This window comes from Homo sapiens, chromosome 2, assembly GCF_000001405.40.
Source record: "Homo sapiens chromosome 2, GRCh38.p14 Primary Assembly".
NCBI classification, from domain to species: Eukaryota; Metazoa; Chordata; class Mammalia; order Primates; family Hominidae; genus Homo; species Homo sapiens.
Genome location: NC_000002.12, coordinates 230,824,767 through 230,843,675, shown reverse-complemented (window position 1 = coordinate 230,843,675; position 18,909 = coordinate 230,824,767). Strand labels below are relative to the sequence as shown.

Sequence of the window (18,909 nt, the reverse complement as noted above, 5' to 3'; positions counted from 1 at the left end):
AACACCCACAGGTGTGGAGGGGCAACCCACCCCTACACAATAGAAACTAGAGACCCTCCAAGGGAAGGAGGAAGAAACCTGGGAGGTAGAATACAGTCTGCTTAGCCACCAGGGACCCTCTGCTCCTGGCAGTTCTTCAGTGCTAAACCTTTATATATTAATTGACTTGGTTACTTAGGAGATTGGACAGGGACAGGTATCTGGAAAGGAGGGTTGAGGAGTCCAGAATAATTAGTGGGTGGGAACAGGGTAGGCACAGAAAATCTACTCATGCTTTCCTCTCAGCAGCTAGGACAGAACTGTTGTGAACAAAGTCTACCAGGAAATGACTTAAGATGATTCGGTTTCCCAGCATAAAACTGGGCGGACATGGTGAGGAAGGCGGTTCCCCTGAGGTATCTATAGTTATTCATATATCTATACCTATGTCATCTTGGAAGATAGAGATCTAGATCTATATTAAAAGCAGCAGCCGCTAACATGTATTGAGCATTTACTACTTTCAATACAGGCATAGTGCTAAGCACTTTATGTCCATTACTTAATTTCTCCCATCTCTATGAGGTAGTTATTACTACCATTACTATTGTCCCCATTTTATAGACCTGGAAACTGAGGCATTTAATTTTCGCAAAGTCACCAAGCTGCTAAGCGGTAGAACAAGGATTTGAACCCAAGCAGGCCACCTCCAGAATCTGTACTGTCTACCATCAGCATCTTTAATGATTTGTCTGTTCTGCTGTCTATATTCTCAACCTCATCTCCTTTAGTGACTTGGAGCCTTTAAAACAGCAATGCCTGTTACTGATTGCTAGGGGTTCAGCCTAGGTCCCGCTGCTTGCCACACAGAAAGCCAGTCGCTGAGACAGTGAGTATTGCCAAGGAAAATGGCTTTATTACAGGTGACGTCAGCTGGAGAGATGGGAGGCAAGCCTCAAATATGTCTTTCTCTCGCCAACTAAAGTTAGGGGTTTAGATTATAGCAGGGGAAGGAAAACAGGTGGGGCAAGGAAGAAGAGTTGCTCAGCAGGTGGTCAGATGAGGGGTCTAGCGTCTGTCTCATAACCACGTGCAGGAGAACAGGAGTTAGGGAGGGGTGAAGAAGAGGAGCTGGTCAACAGGCAGCAGGTGTGACTCACTGTACAAATGGAAGTTTCTCAAGCTTCAGTTCTATGGGCATCTGGCTTGTTGGAAAATTGAGCCTGTCTTTCCTCTGTTACTTCTGCCGTAATGGCCTCCTTCTCTTCATGAATGACTGGGTCAGGGGTCCCTTACTGGGCCCTGGGGAGAGCAGTTGCTGATGAACTCTTACTTTATGATATGATGTTCCATTCCATCCCATTGCTTATTGTTTTCTCATCTTCCTTTCTGCATGTAGAGACCCCAGTGACAGCAACTTTGTCTTCATTATCTTCATACACCCAGTGGTTGTTACAATGCCTAACTCAAGAAACAGTTGTTCAGTAACTGCTAATAGTAGGTTATTGTGCTTTATCATCTTTAGTGCTTACTAAATTCAGTTGAATAAAACAGTTATATACAGCAAGTTTTATACAGCAAGTATAAAAATACTTCCAAGTGTTTGACATATTATTTCTCTTAATTTGAACATATCCCTTATGTAAAGGTACCACTTTTATCCTGGTTTTACAGACAAGGAAACTGACATACAAAAGGTTAAGGTGGCTGGGCAAATTGGCTCACACCTATAATCCCAGTACTTTGGGAGGCCAAGGCAGGTGGATCACCTGAGGTCAGGAGTTTGAGACCAGCCTGGCCAACATGGCGAAACCCCATCTCTACTAAAAATACAAAAATTAGCGGGGCATGGTGGTGTGCACCTGTAGTCCCAGCTACTTGGGAGGCTGAGGCATGAGAATCACTTGAATCCAGGAGGTAGAGGTTGTGTTGAGCTGAGATCACGCCACTGCACTCTAGCCTGGGTGACAGAGTGATACGGTGTCTCAAACACACACACACACACACACACACACACACACACACGGTTAAGGTACTTGCTTGAGGTCACACATTTAGTAGATCAGTCTGTCTGGATGCATAGCCTGGAGCTCTTACTGTGCAGGCGAGGACTGTGGGAAAGGAGCTGTGGAGGACAATTAGGATGAAGGGAGGTAGAAAGTTGGGCAGAGATGGCTGGATGCAGTGGCTCATGCCTGTAATCCCAGCACTTTGGGAGGCCGAGGCGGGTGGATCACCTGAAGTCGGGAGTTCGAGACCAGCCTGACCAACATGGAGAAACCCCAGCTGTACTAAAAAAAAAAAAAAAAAATTATGTATATATTTAGCTGGGCGTGGTGGCGCATGCCTGTAATCCCAACTACTCGGGAGGCTGAGGCAGAAGAATCGCTTGAATCTGAGTGGCGGAGGTTGTGGTGAGCTGAGATCCTTCCATTGCACTCCAGCCTGGGCAACAAGAGTGAAACTCCCTCTCAAAAAAAAAAAAAAAGACAGAAAGAAAGAATGAAAGTTGGGCAGAGATAACTAAAATCCAAATATGGATAAATAAGTGTTTAAAGACAGCTTTAAAAGATAGTTAGATTTTTTTTCAATAAAGATCAGAAATAGCCCAGTGCAGTGGCTCACACCTGTAACCCCAGCACTTTGGGAGGCTAAGGCAGGAGGATCGCTTGAGCCCAGGAGTTCAACACCAGCCTGTACCACAAAGCGAGACCCCATCTCTACAAAAAAAATTTAAAAATTAGCTGAGCGTGGTGGTGCCCGCCTGTAGTCCCAGCTACTCAGGAGGCTGAGGCAGGAGGATGGCTTGAGCCCAGGAAGTTGAGGCTGCAGTGAGCTGTGATCGCACCACAGCACTCCGGCCTGGGTGACAGAATGAGACCCTGTCTCAAAGAATAAAATAATGATAATTTGTGTAGTATGAGTCTGTCAAATTTAGCTGGCTGTCCTGTGTTTAATGTGGCAGCCCTGCTTGGTGGTTCTCTTGGCCTTGGCCAAATACCCATTTGGAACATCAGGGTTGCAGGCATACTCTTAAAAGCATTAACATTCTTCTCCAATAATTTTTACTAAAGTACAATTTTTCTTAAGTTTCTAAGGTTTTTTTTTTTTTTTTTTCCAGCCAACAGAGCTCTCAGCCTATTATCGTGGGTTTTTTCTCTTACAGGAAATAGGCTAGCTTGAGTAACAGCTTATGATCCTTCTGCATTTTTCTGACAGAATTTGGGCTTGTACTTTATAAGTCTCCAGCATGCTTGATCTTGCCATCTGCTTCGGAAATAGTCTCCTCTATTATTAAAGGGCAAATTCTCTCTAAATTGGCTATTTGATGCACACTGATTTCTTTTTCTTGATGCAATTCAGGAAGGACTTGGAGTTCCTGCTGGAGCTGTTACCTCTCCTTTTGCTGGAGCTGTTACCTCCCCTTTCTGTGTTTGTCTGACTTCAGTGAGGCTGTCTCAGTTTGTAGATTTTAAATATGAGGGCATCGATCATTTCATCTCCTTCAGCTAATTTAGTGTACATTTGATTTCTTTTAAGGTGTTTTAGCTGGGCTCAGTGGCTCATTGCTGTAATCCCAACACTTTGGGAGGCTGAGGCGAGTGGATTACTTGAGCCCAGGAGTTGGAGACCAGCATGGGCAAGCTAAAAAGACCCTGTCTCTACAAAAAACACAAAATTAGCCGGGTGTGGTGGTGTGCACCTGTAGTCCCAGCTACTTGGGAGGCTGAGGTGGGAGGATTGCTCGAGCCCAGGAGGTCCAGGCTTCAGTGAGTCATGTCTGTGGCACTGCACTGCAGCCTGGGCAACCCTGTCTCAAAAAAATAAATAAATAAATAAACAAAAATAAATAAATAAATAAATAAAGTGTTTTATAAGAATTCTTTGAGTTGCATTCACTTCTTCAAACTCCTTTTGAATAATCTAGGAGCCGCTGGTTTTCGAATGCAGTTGTTCTACCCAGTTCTGAGCTCCCACCATCCATGCTGCCTTCTCCCAGGAAGGCCGCCCAATCACTCCTCTTTAAGCAAGTGGTCACCTAGAGGCTTGATCTGATCTCCTTCAGAGTTTTCTATATTTCATTCTGCTTAATATGCTCACTCACTCTTCCTTCTCTGGTTTCTTGCGAAAGCAGCCTCACACACCCCTGAATACCACCATGGTCATCCAGGTCATGCTTCATGCTGTCTAAAGGTACTCTGTTTCCTTTGATGTATTTTGAAGGCTGTTTTGGTTGCAGATACTTGATATCGGATATATTTTGGTGCATCTTCTAAAGACTGAATGTTTCTTGCAATGCCAGCTGTCAACTCAACTTGTTCTGAATGTTTAGATTTCTCTTTACGTCCTCTTCTAAAAAGCCTGTATTTTAAGCCCAAATAAAGAGTTGGCACTTTCCAACTCTTGATTAATGGCCTCCAGTTTTTATATTTCCATGTGGCTGAGTTTCCAAAAATGTGATGTTTTCCCCCTAGAAGGATAGAAATGGCAGTGGCCAGTCTGTCTCTACTTGCATAAAGTAGGCTCTCAACTAAACTCTGACTATGACCAAAACCACCCTCTTGCCCAACAGTCCTTGGGGAGCTGGGCCTGGTCCTGGGCATTGCTCCCACTGCCTGGTGTGGGATCTCTAGGACCAGTGTGACACAGAGCATCATGGCCATAGCAGACCCTACATGGGCCTGATGCCACTGTGAAGTCCCTCAGGTTGTCAGGACCCTGCCAGTTACAACAAACTGAGAAAAACACAAAGACTGAACCAAACCAGCCTTGGCAACCAGGGCAGACTCCAGTGGAGGTGGGGCAGGGGACAAGTTAGTAGACCTGGCTAAAGTTCTTTCTTCTCGTAAACTTTTCATTCTGAGGCCCTGAAGGCTTCATCTTACCCATAAAAAGTTACACAAAACTCCTGATGCTCAGTCCCTCCTTGGTCTGGGTCTGGCCACCCTTGAATGTGTGTAGGGAGGGGTTCAGGAGGGGTTACTGGGGGTCCTGCAATGAAGTTTGGCTTACTTCACTAACTTCATCTTTAAACAAGGAGGAGGAAGTAAGTGGGATTTTTTTGTCCTAATAGTATAGCTGCCCAAGGGGTTCACCTTGCCTGCTGCCTAGACAGAGCCAATTTATCAAGACAGGGGGATTGCAGTAGAGAAAGGGTAATTCACATAGAGCTGGCTGTGCAGGAGACCAGAGTTTTATCATTACTCAAATCAGTTTCCCCCAGCATTCGGGGAGCAGAGTTTTTAAGGACAACTTGGTGGGTGGGGGGAAGCCAGTGAGCCAGGAGTGCTGATTGGTCAGAGACGAAATCATAGGGAGTCTGAGCTGTCTTCTTGCGCGGAGTCAGTTCCTAGGTGGGGGCTGCAAGATCAGGTGAATCAGTTTATCAGTCTGGGCGGTGCCAGCTGGTCCATCAAGTGCAGGGTCTGCAAAATATCTCAAGCACTGATCTTAGGAGAAGTTTAGGGAGGGTCAGAATCTTGCGGCCTCCAGCTGCATGACTCCCAAACCATAATTTCTAATCTTGTGGCTAATATTAGTCCTACAAGGCAATTTAGTCCCCAGGCAAGAAGGAGGTCTACTTTGGGAAAGGGCTGTTATCATCTTTGTTTTAAGCTATAAACAATGAATTAAGTTTCTCCCAAAGTTAGTTCAGCCTACACCCAGGAATGAACAAGGATAGCTTGGAGGTTAGAAGCAAGATGGAGTCTATGAAGTCAGATCTCTTTCACTGTCTCAGTCATAATTTTGCAAAGGTGGTTTCAATAGTTCAAGAAATAAGCCGGCCAACATGAACAAGGAAGACACGACATTCAACTCTTCTTATAGGAGTGAAGTGTTTGATGAGTCAGAAGCCCTTAGAAGGTATTAGATGCTGGATAGAATGTGTGACAGGAGGTTTGGGCCACCTGAGCACTTCTGCAATGTAGAATCTGGTCCCTGGGCTATGGGGGAGACCAGCCTTGTCTAGCTTAATGAGCAGCCAGGTGTTGTTGATGATGAGGCTGCAGGTCAGCTGGAGGTTGGCTGATTTGGGCTGGGCATGGCTGGGAAGTTCTGCTGACCTCAGCTGAGCTCACTCCGGTGTCTCAGGTTCAGCTGAAAGTTGGCTAAGCTTGACAGCCCTCTGCCTGACTTGCTTATATGTCTCAGGGGCTGCTGGGGGTTGACCAATTCTGAGATTGGGCTGTGGGGGACATTGGTGATCTTGGCTGGGCGCGCTCCTGTGCCTCAGGGTTGGCTGGGTGTCTGTTGATGTAGGCTGGGCTTAGTGGGGTGCTCGGCCCTGCCTCACGTGTGTCTTTCCTTGGAGACGTCAGTGATTGTTTTGATGACCGTTTCCTTTCTCTTCCTGAAGTCATCCTTGTCAGGAAGGCTGTAGGTTTCCAAAAGCAGGATATAGAATAGGAGCAGGTGTAGTCACCCGTTGCTTATTTTGTTTCTACGGCTCGCTTTACCTCACCAGCCACTGAATAATAGAAAATGTATGGAAAAAATCTCAAGTCTGGTAGGGCCCCATTAAGTGTGGACAGTGCATGCTTGGCAGAGCTGATGGAGCTAAGTTTCGACCTCTGTAGGGTTTTCATGAAAGAATAAGCCAGAATCCATGTCATATGGATGCACCAAGTCATTTCTCCTATGGCCTTGTTCAAAGGCCATGAGCTTTTAATTCTTGGTCTGGAAGAACAGCTGCAACCAAGAGCTCCAAAATCTCAGTCAACTTGGCATTTTGCTTTTCATCTCTCATTTCCACCTCTGAGAGCCACTGGCTCTTCTGCTCCTTGGGGACTTCCGTGACTGACTCCCTTGGGCTGGGCAGTGGCAGCAAAGTGCAGGGGGGTATCCAGAGGAAGCTGCTGTCTTCACTGGATTTTGTCTGCTTATTCCATTAATGACAGAGAAAGGCATGTTTCATTGATAGACTGCTGCATAGTAAACCACCCCAAAACTTCATGGCTTAAAACAACTCATTATTCCCCATGAGTCTGTGGGTCCACTGGATCATTCAGTTTGCTGAGGTCTCAGCTGGTATCATTTAAACAGCTGCAACCATCCAGAAGCTCAGCTACTGCTAGCTTCACTTATGTGTTGCGGCCTTGGCTAGGATGCATCAGTTCTAGTCCATGTGGATTCTCTGATTCCATGTGATCTCCCAATTCTCAATAGTCTAGTCCAAGGTATTCTACATGGCAACTGGCTTCCAAAAGAGTGAAAGAGAATCTTCCAGCCTCTTAAGGGCCAGGCTGGAACTGGCCCAGAATCATTTCTGCTACATTGTGTTAGTCAAAGCAAGTCATAAGGACCATGCTGATTTAAAGAGTAGGAAAATACAGCCAGGCATGGTGGCTCACGCCTGTAATCCCAACACTTTGGGAGGCCAAGAGGAATGGATCACTTGAGGTCAGGAGTTCGAGACCACCCTGGCCAATGTAGTGAAACCCCGTCTCTACTGAAAATATAGAAATTAGCCAAGTGTGGTGGTGCATGCCTGTAGTCCCAGCTACTCAGGAGGCTGAGGCAGGAGAATCGCTTGAACCCAGGAGGTAGAGGTTGCAGTGAACTGAGATCACACCACTGCACTCCAGCCTGGGTGACAGAGTGAGACTCTGTCTCAAAAAAAAATAATAAAAATAAATTAAATAAATAAAGAGTAGGAAAATAACTCTTGTTGGGAGGTGTAGTACGTGGTTGGATGATGGTGACATTGTTGATGGCCATCTTTGGAGACAATGTGACAATGATTGCAGATTCATCTATTTCTCCATTTAGTTCTGTCAATTTTTGTTTCATGTATTTTCAAACTGTCATTAGATACAGACACATTTAGGGTTGTTATCTTCTTGATAAATTAACTCGATTATCATTAAGAACTATGTCTCTTTATCTTTGGTAATGCCTCTTGCCTCAAAGTCTATTGATATTAATATGGTTACGCCAGCTTTCTTGTGATTAGTGTTTGCATGTTCTTCTTAATCCTTTTACTTTTTATCTTTGTATCTGTATCTTTATATTTAAAGTACATTTATTGTAAACAGTATGTAGTTGGGGCTTGTTTTTTATTCAGTTCAACCATGTTTTTTGTTTTCTCCTCTCGTTCTTGCTGTCATCTTAACGGTTGTTGTCTTCGAAATGGAGTGGTTACCCTGTTTACATTTAACGTACGTATTGATATGGTTGAGGTTTCAGTTCATCATTTTGCTATTTGTTTTCGATTTATCCTATCTGTTATTTGTTTGTGGCTTCTGTTTTTCTGTCTTGTTGAGAATTAATCAGGTATGTTGTGGTATTTTATCTTATCTCCTCTGTTGGTTTTTCAGATATACATCTTTGTTTCCATTTATTTGATTTTTTTTAAGTGGTTGCTTCAGGCAGTCAATAAAACATGTATCCTTAATTTATCACAGTGTACATTGAATTAATATTAAACCACTTCTGTATAATACAAGAACATTACATTAGTATAATTATTCCTCTGTTGTCTTTGATCTATCCGTGTCATAGATTTTGCTTCACATTTGTTATAATAAACTCCATATTATTTTTTTGCCTTTTAAAGAAATGAAGACAAGAGATAAAAATTGTCTTTTATATTTACCCATAAATTTGTATTTCTGGCTCTCTTTATACCTTCCTGTTTTCATCTGTATCATTTCTCTTCAGCTAATGAGCTCCCTGTAGCATCTCTTGTCTGGTGAGTCTATAGGCTATGAAATCTCTCAGCTGCAATTTCTTCAGAAGTGTCTTTATTTCACCTTCAATTGAAAATTTTTTTTAAACTTTGGTATGATGGAAATTATTCTTTTTTTTTTTTTTTTTGCAGCATCTCATTCCCATGGCCCAGGCTAGAGTGCAGTGGTGTGATCATGGCTCACTGCAGCCTCGACCTCCCAGGCTCAGGTGGTGATTTTACCACCTCAGCCTCCCAAGTAGCTGGGACTATAGACACGCGCCACTATGCCTAGCTAATTTTTTTGTATTTTTAGTGAGATGGGGTTTTGCCATGTTGCCCAGGCGGGTCTCAAACTCCTAGGCTCAAACGATCCACTTGCTTTGGCCTCCCAACATGCTGGGATTACAGGAATGGGCTACTGTGTCCAGCCTGGAAATTATTATTTATTTCCATATTATAATGATATTTTACCACTACTTTGTACTAAGAAAAATGTATTAGCAATTATTAATTTATTTATCAATAGATCATATTTATTCAATAAAAAAACACCAACTTTTTTTTTTAACAATAAAGTGTTTCTGAACTTTAAGATAGCTGGGGCCAGGCATGGTGGCTCATGCCTATAATCCCAGCACTTTGGGAGGCCGAGGCAGGCGGATCACTTGAGGCCAGGAGTTTGAGACCAGCCTGGGCAACATAAAGTGAAACGCTGTCTCTACTAAAAATACAAAAATTAGCCGGGAATGGCATGCACCTGTAGTCCCAGCTACCTGGGAGGCTGAGGCAGGAGAATCGCTTGAATCTGGGAGGCAGAGGTTGCAGCAAGCCGAGACGGCACCACTGCACTCCAGCCTGGGCAACAAAGCCAGACTCCATCTCAAAAAAAAAAAAAAAATATATAGCTGGATAGAAATAAAACATTGTCAAGTATCATTTTTTGGTTAAATGATACTTTTTTCATCATTTTGGTTAATTGCTACTTTTTCATTATTTTGGTTAATTGCTACTTTTTTCAATTCAATGATTTTTAGTAAATTTATGGTATTGAGCAACTATCTTTATAATCCAGTGTTAGAACATTTTAATCACCCCAAAGTGTTCCCTCATGTCCATTTGCAATTAGTTTTTGCCCCATCCTCAGCCCTAAACGACCACAGATCTGCTTTCTGTTCTCATAAACTTGGGACAGTTCATATAAATGGGATCATATAATAGGAAGTCTTTCGTGCCTGGATTCTTTCAGTTGGCATAATGTTTTTCAGGTTCATCCATGTTGTAGTGTGGACCAGTAGTCTCTTCCTTTTCATTGTTGAATAGTATTCCACTGTATGAATCTATCAGACTTTGTTTATACATTCATTAGCTGTTGGACATTGGATGGTTTCAAGGTTATAGTTATTATGAATAAATAACACTGCTCTGAACATTCAGGTACTGGCTCTGTGTGGCATAAGTTTTCACTTTTCTTGGGAATATTCCTTAGAAGGGAATGGCTAGGTCATACAGTAAGTTTTTTTGGGGGGTTGTTTTGCTTTGTTTTGTTTTTTGGGACAGAGTCTCACTTTGTCACCATGATGGAATGCAGTGGCAAGATCTCGGCTCACTGCAGCCTCCACCTCCCGGGTTCAAGCGATTCTTCTGCCTCAGCCTCCCGAGTAGCTGGGACTACAGGTGCGTGCCACCACGCCCAGCTGATTTTTTTGTATTTTTAGTAAAGATGGGGTTTCACCATGTTGGCCAAGCTGGTCTCGAACTCTTGACCTGTGATCCACCTGCCTCGGCCTCCCAAAGTGCTGGGATTACAGGCATGAGCCGCTGCGCCCGGTGCTATTATTATCATAGTAAATCTATATATTATAGACATAACACTACAGCTATACTTGTTGCTTTATACAAACTTACATCTTTTGGAAGTTAAAAGAAGAAATAAAAGCAAAACATGTTTATCTGTTATATAAATGTATATATGTATGATTTCTGGTACTATTTACTTGGATTTACCCTGTGGATTCAGCTTAAAACATCTGGTATCCTCTCCTTTCACCCTAAAGGACTTTCTCCAGTATTTCTTTTGAGTCAGACCAGCTAGCAATCAAGTCTCTCAGTCTTCATTTATCTGAAAATATCTTTATTCAGCCTGCATTTTTGAAGTGCAGTTTTGCTGGATATAGAATAGTTGACTGACAGTTTTTTCCTTAGCACTCAAAATATGCCATTCCACTGCCTTCTGGCTTCTATAGTTGCAGATGAGAGAAGCCAGCCAGTAATTGTATTGTTGTTCCCCGATGGATGGGTGTTTTTCTCTTACTCCTTTCAAGATTTCCTCTGTTAAAAGAAAAACTTCGGCCGAATTAAACTGAAAGGAGTTTAATTGAACAATGAATGATTCATGAATTGGGCAGCCCCCAGAATCACAGCAGATTCAGAGGGACTCCAGGAGTGTCTCGTGGTCAGAACAAATTTATAGACCAAAAAGAAAGTCAAGTGGCATACAGAAATTGGAAGTGGGGTACAGAAACAACTGGACTGGTTACAGCTCAGCATTTGCCTTATTTCAACACAGTCTGAACACAGCCGTGTATGAGTGGTTGAAGTAGGGCCACTAGGATTGGCCAAGACTCAGCTATTGTTACAGGTGCATACTCCTAAGTTAAGTTTTCAATCTTGTCTACCTATTAAGTTAGGTTGCAGTTCATCCACAAGGACTCAAACATGGAAGTATGGAGTCCTTCTCAGGCCACAGTTAGTTTGCTTTAACAACTCTTGGTATGGCCGGGCGCGGTGGCCCACGCCTGTAATCCCAGCACTTTCGGAGGCTGAGGCAGGTGGATCACGAGGTCAGGAGTTCAAGACCAGCCTGGCCAACATGGTGAAACCCTGTCTCTACTAAAAATACAAGAATTAGCCGGGCATGGTGGCACATGTCTGTAATTCCAGCTACTTGTGAGGCTGAGGCAGGAGAATCGCTTAAACCTGGGAGAGGGAGGTTGCAGTGAGCCAAGATCGTGCCATTGCACTCCAGCCTGGGCAACAAGAGCAAAACTCTGTCTCAAAAAACAACAAGAACAACAACAACAACGACAACAACAACAACTCTTGGTAGATTCAACATATTTGAGGACCTACCATGTGGATCTCTTTTCATTGATCATACTTGGGGTTCGTTGAGTTTCTTGGATGTGTGGGATGATGTTATTTCACAAACAATCATAGTTGATGGTAAGCCTTTCCCTCCATCTGGTGCAGGGATGGATCTTTCAGATTCCTTCTAGAACAAGATGAGTTTGACTGGGCTGCAGCTTTAATCAGGGGCATTCTCTATGGGGAGCCCAGTCCCCAGTCTCCTGAGCCACTGCCTTTTGATCTTATAGACAGGGAGCTGATTGTCTTCAATTTCAGCTATTTTTGGTTCACCTTTGGATTCAATGCTGGCAGAGCCCCAGGATCCAATCACTGCAAGAATGTTTCGGATTACACAGTTTCTTTCTAGTTATCATCCTTTGCCCTATTGCTGTTTTCTTAGCAAAACCAGAGCAGGATATTTCTGGGCCAAGTGATCTGTTCTTGTGTTTGAGGCTCGTCCAGACTCCAGTCTGCCCCATAGCCCTGTTTTTCAAGATCTGACTGATTTCCCCTAAAAGTCTCTCCATCCTCGGCAGAACTGCTCTCACCCAGATGAGGCATCACCTCCCCGTATGGAAGCTGCCTCAGCTTCCCATTCACCTACAACAACCTCAGAATGCTCCGGAATTTACTTCTTCCGGGTTCCTTGTTGCTACCACTTTTTGCTAGCTTCATAAGAAGCACGCTGTTTCTTATTTTATTTGTTTTCTTCTTGTTACCACAAGACTGAAGTCTCTTGTGACCTAAATCCTAGCTGGGAGCAGAGGCCAAATCGGGAGTGCTTTCTTGTGTGTCCTGAACTTCAGGGTGACTGTTCTTGAAATCACCATTGCAAAATTATAACTGAGACACTGAAAGAGATCTGACCTGACCACCTCCATCTTGCTTCTAACCTCCAAGCTGTCCTTGTTCATTCCTGGGTGTAGGTGGAACTAACTTTAGGAGGAACTTAGTTTATAGTTTATAGTTTAAAACCAAGATGATAACAGCCCTTTCCCAACAAACCCCTTTCTTGCCTGGGGACTAGACTGCCTTTGTAGGATTAACAAATTAGCCAAAAGAATAGAAATTATGGTTTAGGCGTTACGCAGCTGGAGGCTACAAGATTCTGACCCTCCCCAAATCGCTCCTGGGGATAACATCACTATTGCAAAACCTAAGATCAGTGCTTGAGATATTTTGCAGACCTTGCACCTGATGGATCAGCTGGCACCACACAGCTGATGGATAAGCTGATGCATAAGCTGGCTCATCTGATCTTGTGGCCACCACCCAGGAACTGACTCAGGGCAAGAGGACAGCTTCGACTCCCTATGATTTCATCTCTGACCCAACCAATCAGCAATCCCGACTCACTAACTCCCCACCCACCAAATTATCCTTTAAAATTCTGATCCCAGAATGCTCGGGGATACCGATTTGAGTAATAATACAACTCTGGCTTTGTGTGAATTTCTCTGTTGCAATTCCCCTGTCTTGGTAAATCGGCTCTGACTAGGCAGTGGACAGGCTGAACCTGCTGGACTCCTACCCAGTGTGCTTCACTGTCCTGGCAGTCCTGACCTCACTGTGTGAGGGTGGAAGGACCGAGACAGAGCCACACTCAGCACCGCCTGGGCTGGCAGCAGGGTTCAGCACGCACTAGCTGTAACAGTGGCTACAAAACACGGTGGCCCAAGCAGGGAAGGCACCAGGATGTTTCTAGCACAGTAAATGCCAGTGAGTGGCTGTGCTTTCATCCATCAAACAGGGGTGATGAGTCAAGGCAAGCAGTGTCCTGAAGGTCATGCTACACACGTGACACCCAGTGGTTTTTCCAAGCAAGCATATGTTAAGCCAGGCACTCTCCGAGGTCCTCACAAACCCTGGCTTATTTAGTGCTCACAGAAGACCTAGGAGGTAGCTCTTACTCTCTCCGGCCTGCACAGAGCTGAGGAAAGCAGGCTGGGGAGAGGGGAAGCACATGTCCTGCCATTGCACTTGGCTTCAATGCCTGCATGAACTTGACATTTCGTCTCTCACATTTTCAAAATGTAGTAATATTTAAACTGACAGGATCTTTCACTGAGACAGTTTTTAACACTTTGTCCTTCACAACTGCAGGTCTGGGTCAAAGGCCCACCTCTTATACAAGGAATAAAGGATTTGCCGTCTTCCTGGCCTCAGCGACGTTCCCATGTATGTCAACGAGAAACCACCCGCGGTGTCCATAGGGACAGCCACTGGCCCAGGCTTCCTCCCTCGCACCTAGTGTGGCCAACGGGGATCTCGGGGACCCTTTCCTCAGGAACTGTGACTGGATGCAGGTGACAGAAGCCATGTGGCAGTGGCATGGGGTTCTCCTCACTTCACAAACGCTCCCAAGTGGGGAGTCCACGCCTGGGCCGGGCCGTGTCCAGGTCGGCACCAAGCCTCTAGGACGCTTTCACCCCTGCTCAGCACCCCCAGAGCCCAGCAGTTGTCCTTCTGGTCCTGTCTCCACGCCTGGCTGGTGGTGGTCTGGGGTGGACTGAGCAGGGCGACACCATGTGTATTGCTTCTTCCCTTGACTCTCTCGGGGGGCCGGCCCACCAATCCCTGTATTGGTGTCCCTTAGAGTCGCCCAGTGAACTGGAAGGAGTGCGTCCTCGTCACCACCTCCCTGGGCACCAGGCTCAGCCAGCAGCTGCCTCTTGCAGAAGCGCCTCCCGTGCTTGCCAGGGCTCAAGGAGGGTCCCCTTCTGCACTGCACCCCAAGCCAGGAAGAGCTGAGTCCTGCACTCAGTGGGGGAGGCAGAGGCTGCCGCCGCCATCGGAGCAGAACAGCTTTCTGGCAGACGGACCCCAAACATCACCTGGGGACTCTTGAGTGTCCACTTTCCAGGCCTAGGCCCTGCGTCAGGGACAGTCCCTTGGGGCAGCAAGGACAGGCCCTCTGAGTGGGAGACGGCCTCGAGTCCTGCACAGGCCTTCGACACAGCAGGGACAGGCTCTGGGGCAGCAGGGAGAGGCTCTAAGGGCAGGGCCGCAGGGACAGGACCTCGGGGCAGTAGGGACTGGACGTCGGGGCAGCAGGGACAGGCTCTCAGGCCGCAGGGACAGGCAGGCCCCCTTGGGAGGTCTGAGGAGGGCTGGGCCACGGTCTTGGCCGTGGGCGGGCGCCTGCGCTCAGGACTCCCCAGAGACCCCCGGTTGCTTTCCCAGGCTCCAAGGCCCCAGCCCTGGGGCGCCGCCGCCTGGCTCCCGGAGAGTCTGAGGCTCCGGGCCGCTGGGAGTCTCCCTTGGGTAGGGACAGCCCGGGGCGGTCGCGGGCCGGAAGGAAAGGGCGGCCTCCTCCCCAGTCGCCGGGGCCCTCTGCAGGGACGCGGCCCAGTGAAAGCCGCAGACCTGGGAGCCCGGGCCCGCCGCGGCGCTGGGCTGAGCCCTGGGTGGGGCCAGGGGTGAAAGGCGCGCTAAGCCGGCTTCCGACCTGGCCACGCCCTAGCTCCGGGTGCCGGACGCGTGGACAGGCCGCGGGGACGCAGGCGAAGCCCACAGCCCAGGCTCCACCCGGGTGGCCATCGGCGTGGCCTCGGTGAGCTCCCTGGGATCTGGCATCCCAGCGACGCCGCCATACGCCCGGGCGCGCCCGGGAGACGCCCACCTCGGCCCGGGCACACCTCGGGGCTGCGCGCCCCGTACCTCCAGGAGCGCGCGCCTGGCCCTTCTCCGCCCCGCGGCTGAGGTCTCCCGCCCCCCACGGCGCCTCCCGGTGTGGTCCTCACGGCAGCCTAGTTTGGAGTCTCGGGCCCCACCCTAGACCGCCAGACCCCCGATGGGTGGCGTGGACCCTGCAGTTTGAGAAGCCTGCTCCGAGCCTGGCCCTGGGCCCAGCAGGGCGGAACGTTCTGGTTCTAACCTGTCAGGGGACGGTGGCAAATCCTCTTTCCTCGTCGGCGGTCCTGTGACTGTTGATCAGAGCAGATGGGATTCCGGGACCCTTGGCACTGCTCCTCAGGCCCCAACAATGTGCTCTGGAGGTTCTGGAGGAAGCCAGGCATTTGGAAGAGGGCGCAGAGGGCTGGACTAATGAAAAGAAATGTCAGCTGGGCGCGGTGGCTCACGTCGGTAATCCTAGCGCTTTGGGAGGCCGAGGGGGGCGGATCATCTGAGGTAGGGAGTCGAGACCAGCCTGGCCAACGTGGAGAAACCCCATCTCTACTAAAAATACAAAATTAGGCGGGTGTGGTGATGTACGCCTGTAATCCCAGCTACTCGGGAGGCTGAGGCAGGAGTGAACCCAGGAGGCGGATGTTGTGGTGAGCTGAGATCGCGCCATTGCACTCCAGCCTGGGCAACAAGAGCAAAACTCTGTCTCACAAAAAGAAAAGAAAAGAGAAGGGGAGGGGAGGGGAGAGAGAAAGGAAGAAAAAGAGGGGAAGAGAAAGAAAAGAGATGTCGCAGCCACCTCTCTGCTACCTACTGCTGTTTGGTCTTGGCTTAATCTCTCTGTTTCTTCCTCTGCAAAATCAGAATAGAGTAACCTGTGCTTCTGAGTGGCCTGAGGACTGAGTGAATTATCCCTCGGGAAGCCCTTGGTAATCACTCACCAAGCATTAATGAGGATTGTTGGCTGTTAATGAAGAACTCGAATGAATGGGGAATCTGCTGTCATGGGTGCTTTAGGAAGATGTAGTTGGGTTTCTCAGATGAGTAAGGACAAGGTTAGCAATGATTTGCCTATCAGTTACTAGAACACTTAAATGAAATCTGTACGTATTCTGCATGGCTTCCTCATAAAATTGCATTTCTGTTTCCTAAGAAGGGAAACGAACTTTCTTGTAATTTTAGAAGGCTTGCTCTAATAGTTTCAAGGATGTTTGACTTGCAACCTTGAAACTAAAGCGTTTTAAGGCAGAACATGATTTGCTTTCGATTAGATGGGGGAGGAGGCCAGGCAAGGGTGATTCCCACATTGCTAGCTTAAGAAACCAGGAGGCAGTGGCATCCTGAGCTTTGGGGTCCTGATTGGTGGGCCTCCATCTAGTTCTGATTTGGACACAGTGCAGGTGAGATTGTTGTTGACCTCTGTGTGCTGCAGCCACTGGGCAGTTGGTGTATTAGTCTGTTCTCATGCTGCTAATAAAGACATACCTGAGACTGGGTAATTTATAAACGAAAAGAGATTTAGTGGACTCACAGTCCCACATGGCTGGGGAGGCCTGACAATCATGGCAAAAGGCAAAAGGCACGTCTTACATGGCGGCAGACGAGAGAGAACTTGTGTAGGGGAACTCCCCTTTATAAAACCATCAGATCTCGTGAGAACAGCATGGGAAAGACCCACCCCCATGATTCAGTTACCTCACACAAGGTCCCTCCCACAACATGTGGGAATTATGGAAGCTACAATTCAAGATGAGATTTGGGTAAGGACGCAGCCAAACCATGACAGTGGGAAAGTGAATTCTGGAGAAGGTGCTGCATGTGTTGCTGCATCCCCAGACGCCCCTGAAACCCCCGTGCCCTTGTACTTGGTAGCATGTGCAGGATGTATATCATCGTCCCCACCCCAGCCATTTTTTTCCCTCCTTTTCATTATGAAATATTTCAAGCATACAGAAAATTGAAAGAATTTTACAGGAAAAAAAAAACGTAATGGAAAAGAGACAAATATTCATGCAGAAAAATGGTAAATAATGTATGTAGATACTCCATTCTCAGGAAGGTGGAGCATAACTCCCTACTTGGTAGGTGTGGGCTGCTTATAGTGACTTCCTCAGAGTACAGAACTGAAAGAGGGAAAATAAAAAGCAATTGTGGAGAAACCTGACAAACACAACCTCAGCCGGGCAATCAAGGTCAACATCAACAGGGAGCAGTCATGTCCATAGTGTGTACCCTTGATATGACGTGATGAAAACAGCACTTTAGGCTGGGCGTGGTGGCTCACGCCTGTACAGCACTTTGGGAAACCGAGGCGGGTGGATTGCTTGAGCTCAGGAGTTTGAGACCAGTCTGGGCAACATGGCGAAACCCTGTCTCTACCAAAAGTACAAATCAGTCTGGCGTGGTGGCACATGTCTGTGGTCCTAGCTACTCGAGAGGCTGAGGTGGGAGGATTGCTTGAGCCTGGGAGGTGGAGGTCGCAGTGAGCTGAGATCGCACCACTGCATTCCAGCTTGGGTGACAGAGTGAGGCCCCATCTCAAAAAAAAAAAAAAAAAAAAGAAAAAAAGAAAAAAAAAGAAAGAAAAAGAAAAAAAAGCACTTAATCTGTATGGTCTTCCTCCCAAACCCCATAATCTCATCCTAATCATGAGAAAAAAGGCAGACAAATCCCAGTCGAGGGAGATTCCACAAATACCTGATGAGTACTTTTTGAAACTGTCAGCAAAAACCAAAGTCTGAGAAACTCTCAACTAAATAGAACATAGGATCCTGGATGGGATCTGGGAACAGGAAAGAGACATCATGGAAAACAAGGAACTCAGAACAAAGTATGGACTTTACCTAATAATAGTGTATCCATATTGGTTCCTTAATTTTAACAAATATAACACAGTGATGTGAGATGTTAATAACAGGGAAGATGGGGTGCAGAGTATATGGGATCTCTCTGTGTCATCTTTGCAACGTTTTCTGTAAATCTAGAACTCTTCCAAAAAATAGTTTCTTAGCAACCAAGACAACCATATACCTACCACCTAAACTCTACCTTTCACATGTTACTCTCGTGCATCTGTCCCGCCCTCTGTCACTCTTTTCTTTTCTTTTTTTTTTTTTTTGAGATGGAGTTTTGCTCTTGTTACCCAGGCTGGAGTGCAATGGCACCATCTTGGCTCACCACAACCTCCGCCTCCTGGGTTCAAGCGTTTCTCTTGCCTCAGCATCCTGAGTAGCTGGGATTACAGGCTTGCGCCACCACGCCCGGCTAATTTTTTGTATTTTTAGTAGAGACAGGGTTTCTCCATGTTGGTCAGGCTGGTCTTGAACTCCCGACCTCAGGTGATACGCCCGCCTCTCCCTCCCAAAGTGCTGGGATTACAGGCTTGAACCACCGCGCCCGGCCTCTGTCATTCTTTTCATAACCCCCTTAGACTGTCCCTGCCTTTTTGCTCAAAAAGGCGTCCAGGACGCTCAGGGCATTTGGGTCCACGACATCCCAGGTTCTCT

General features: G+C 46.8%; 1 annotated feature.

Annotated features, from left to right (window-relative positions):
- Window positions 14,950-15,479: a silencer, noted in NCBI's record as "silent region_12413". NCBI's record gives its function as "represses an Ori minimal core promoter by ATAC-STARR-seq in GM12878 lymphoblastoid cells {active_cell/tissue: GM12878}" and the evidence as "EXISTENCE:reporter gene assay evidence [ECO:0000049][PMID:35858748]".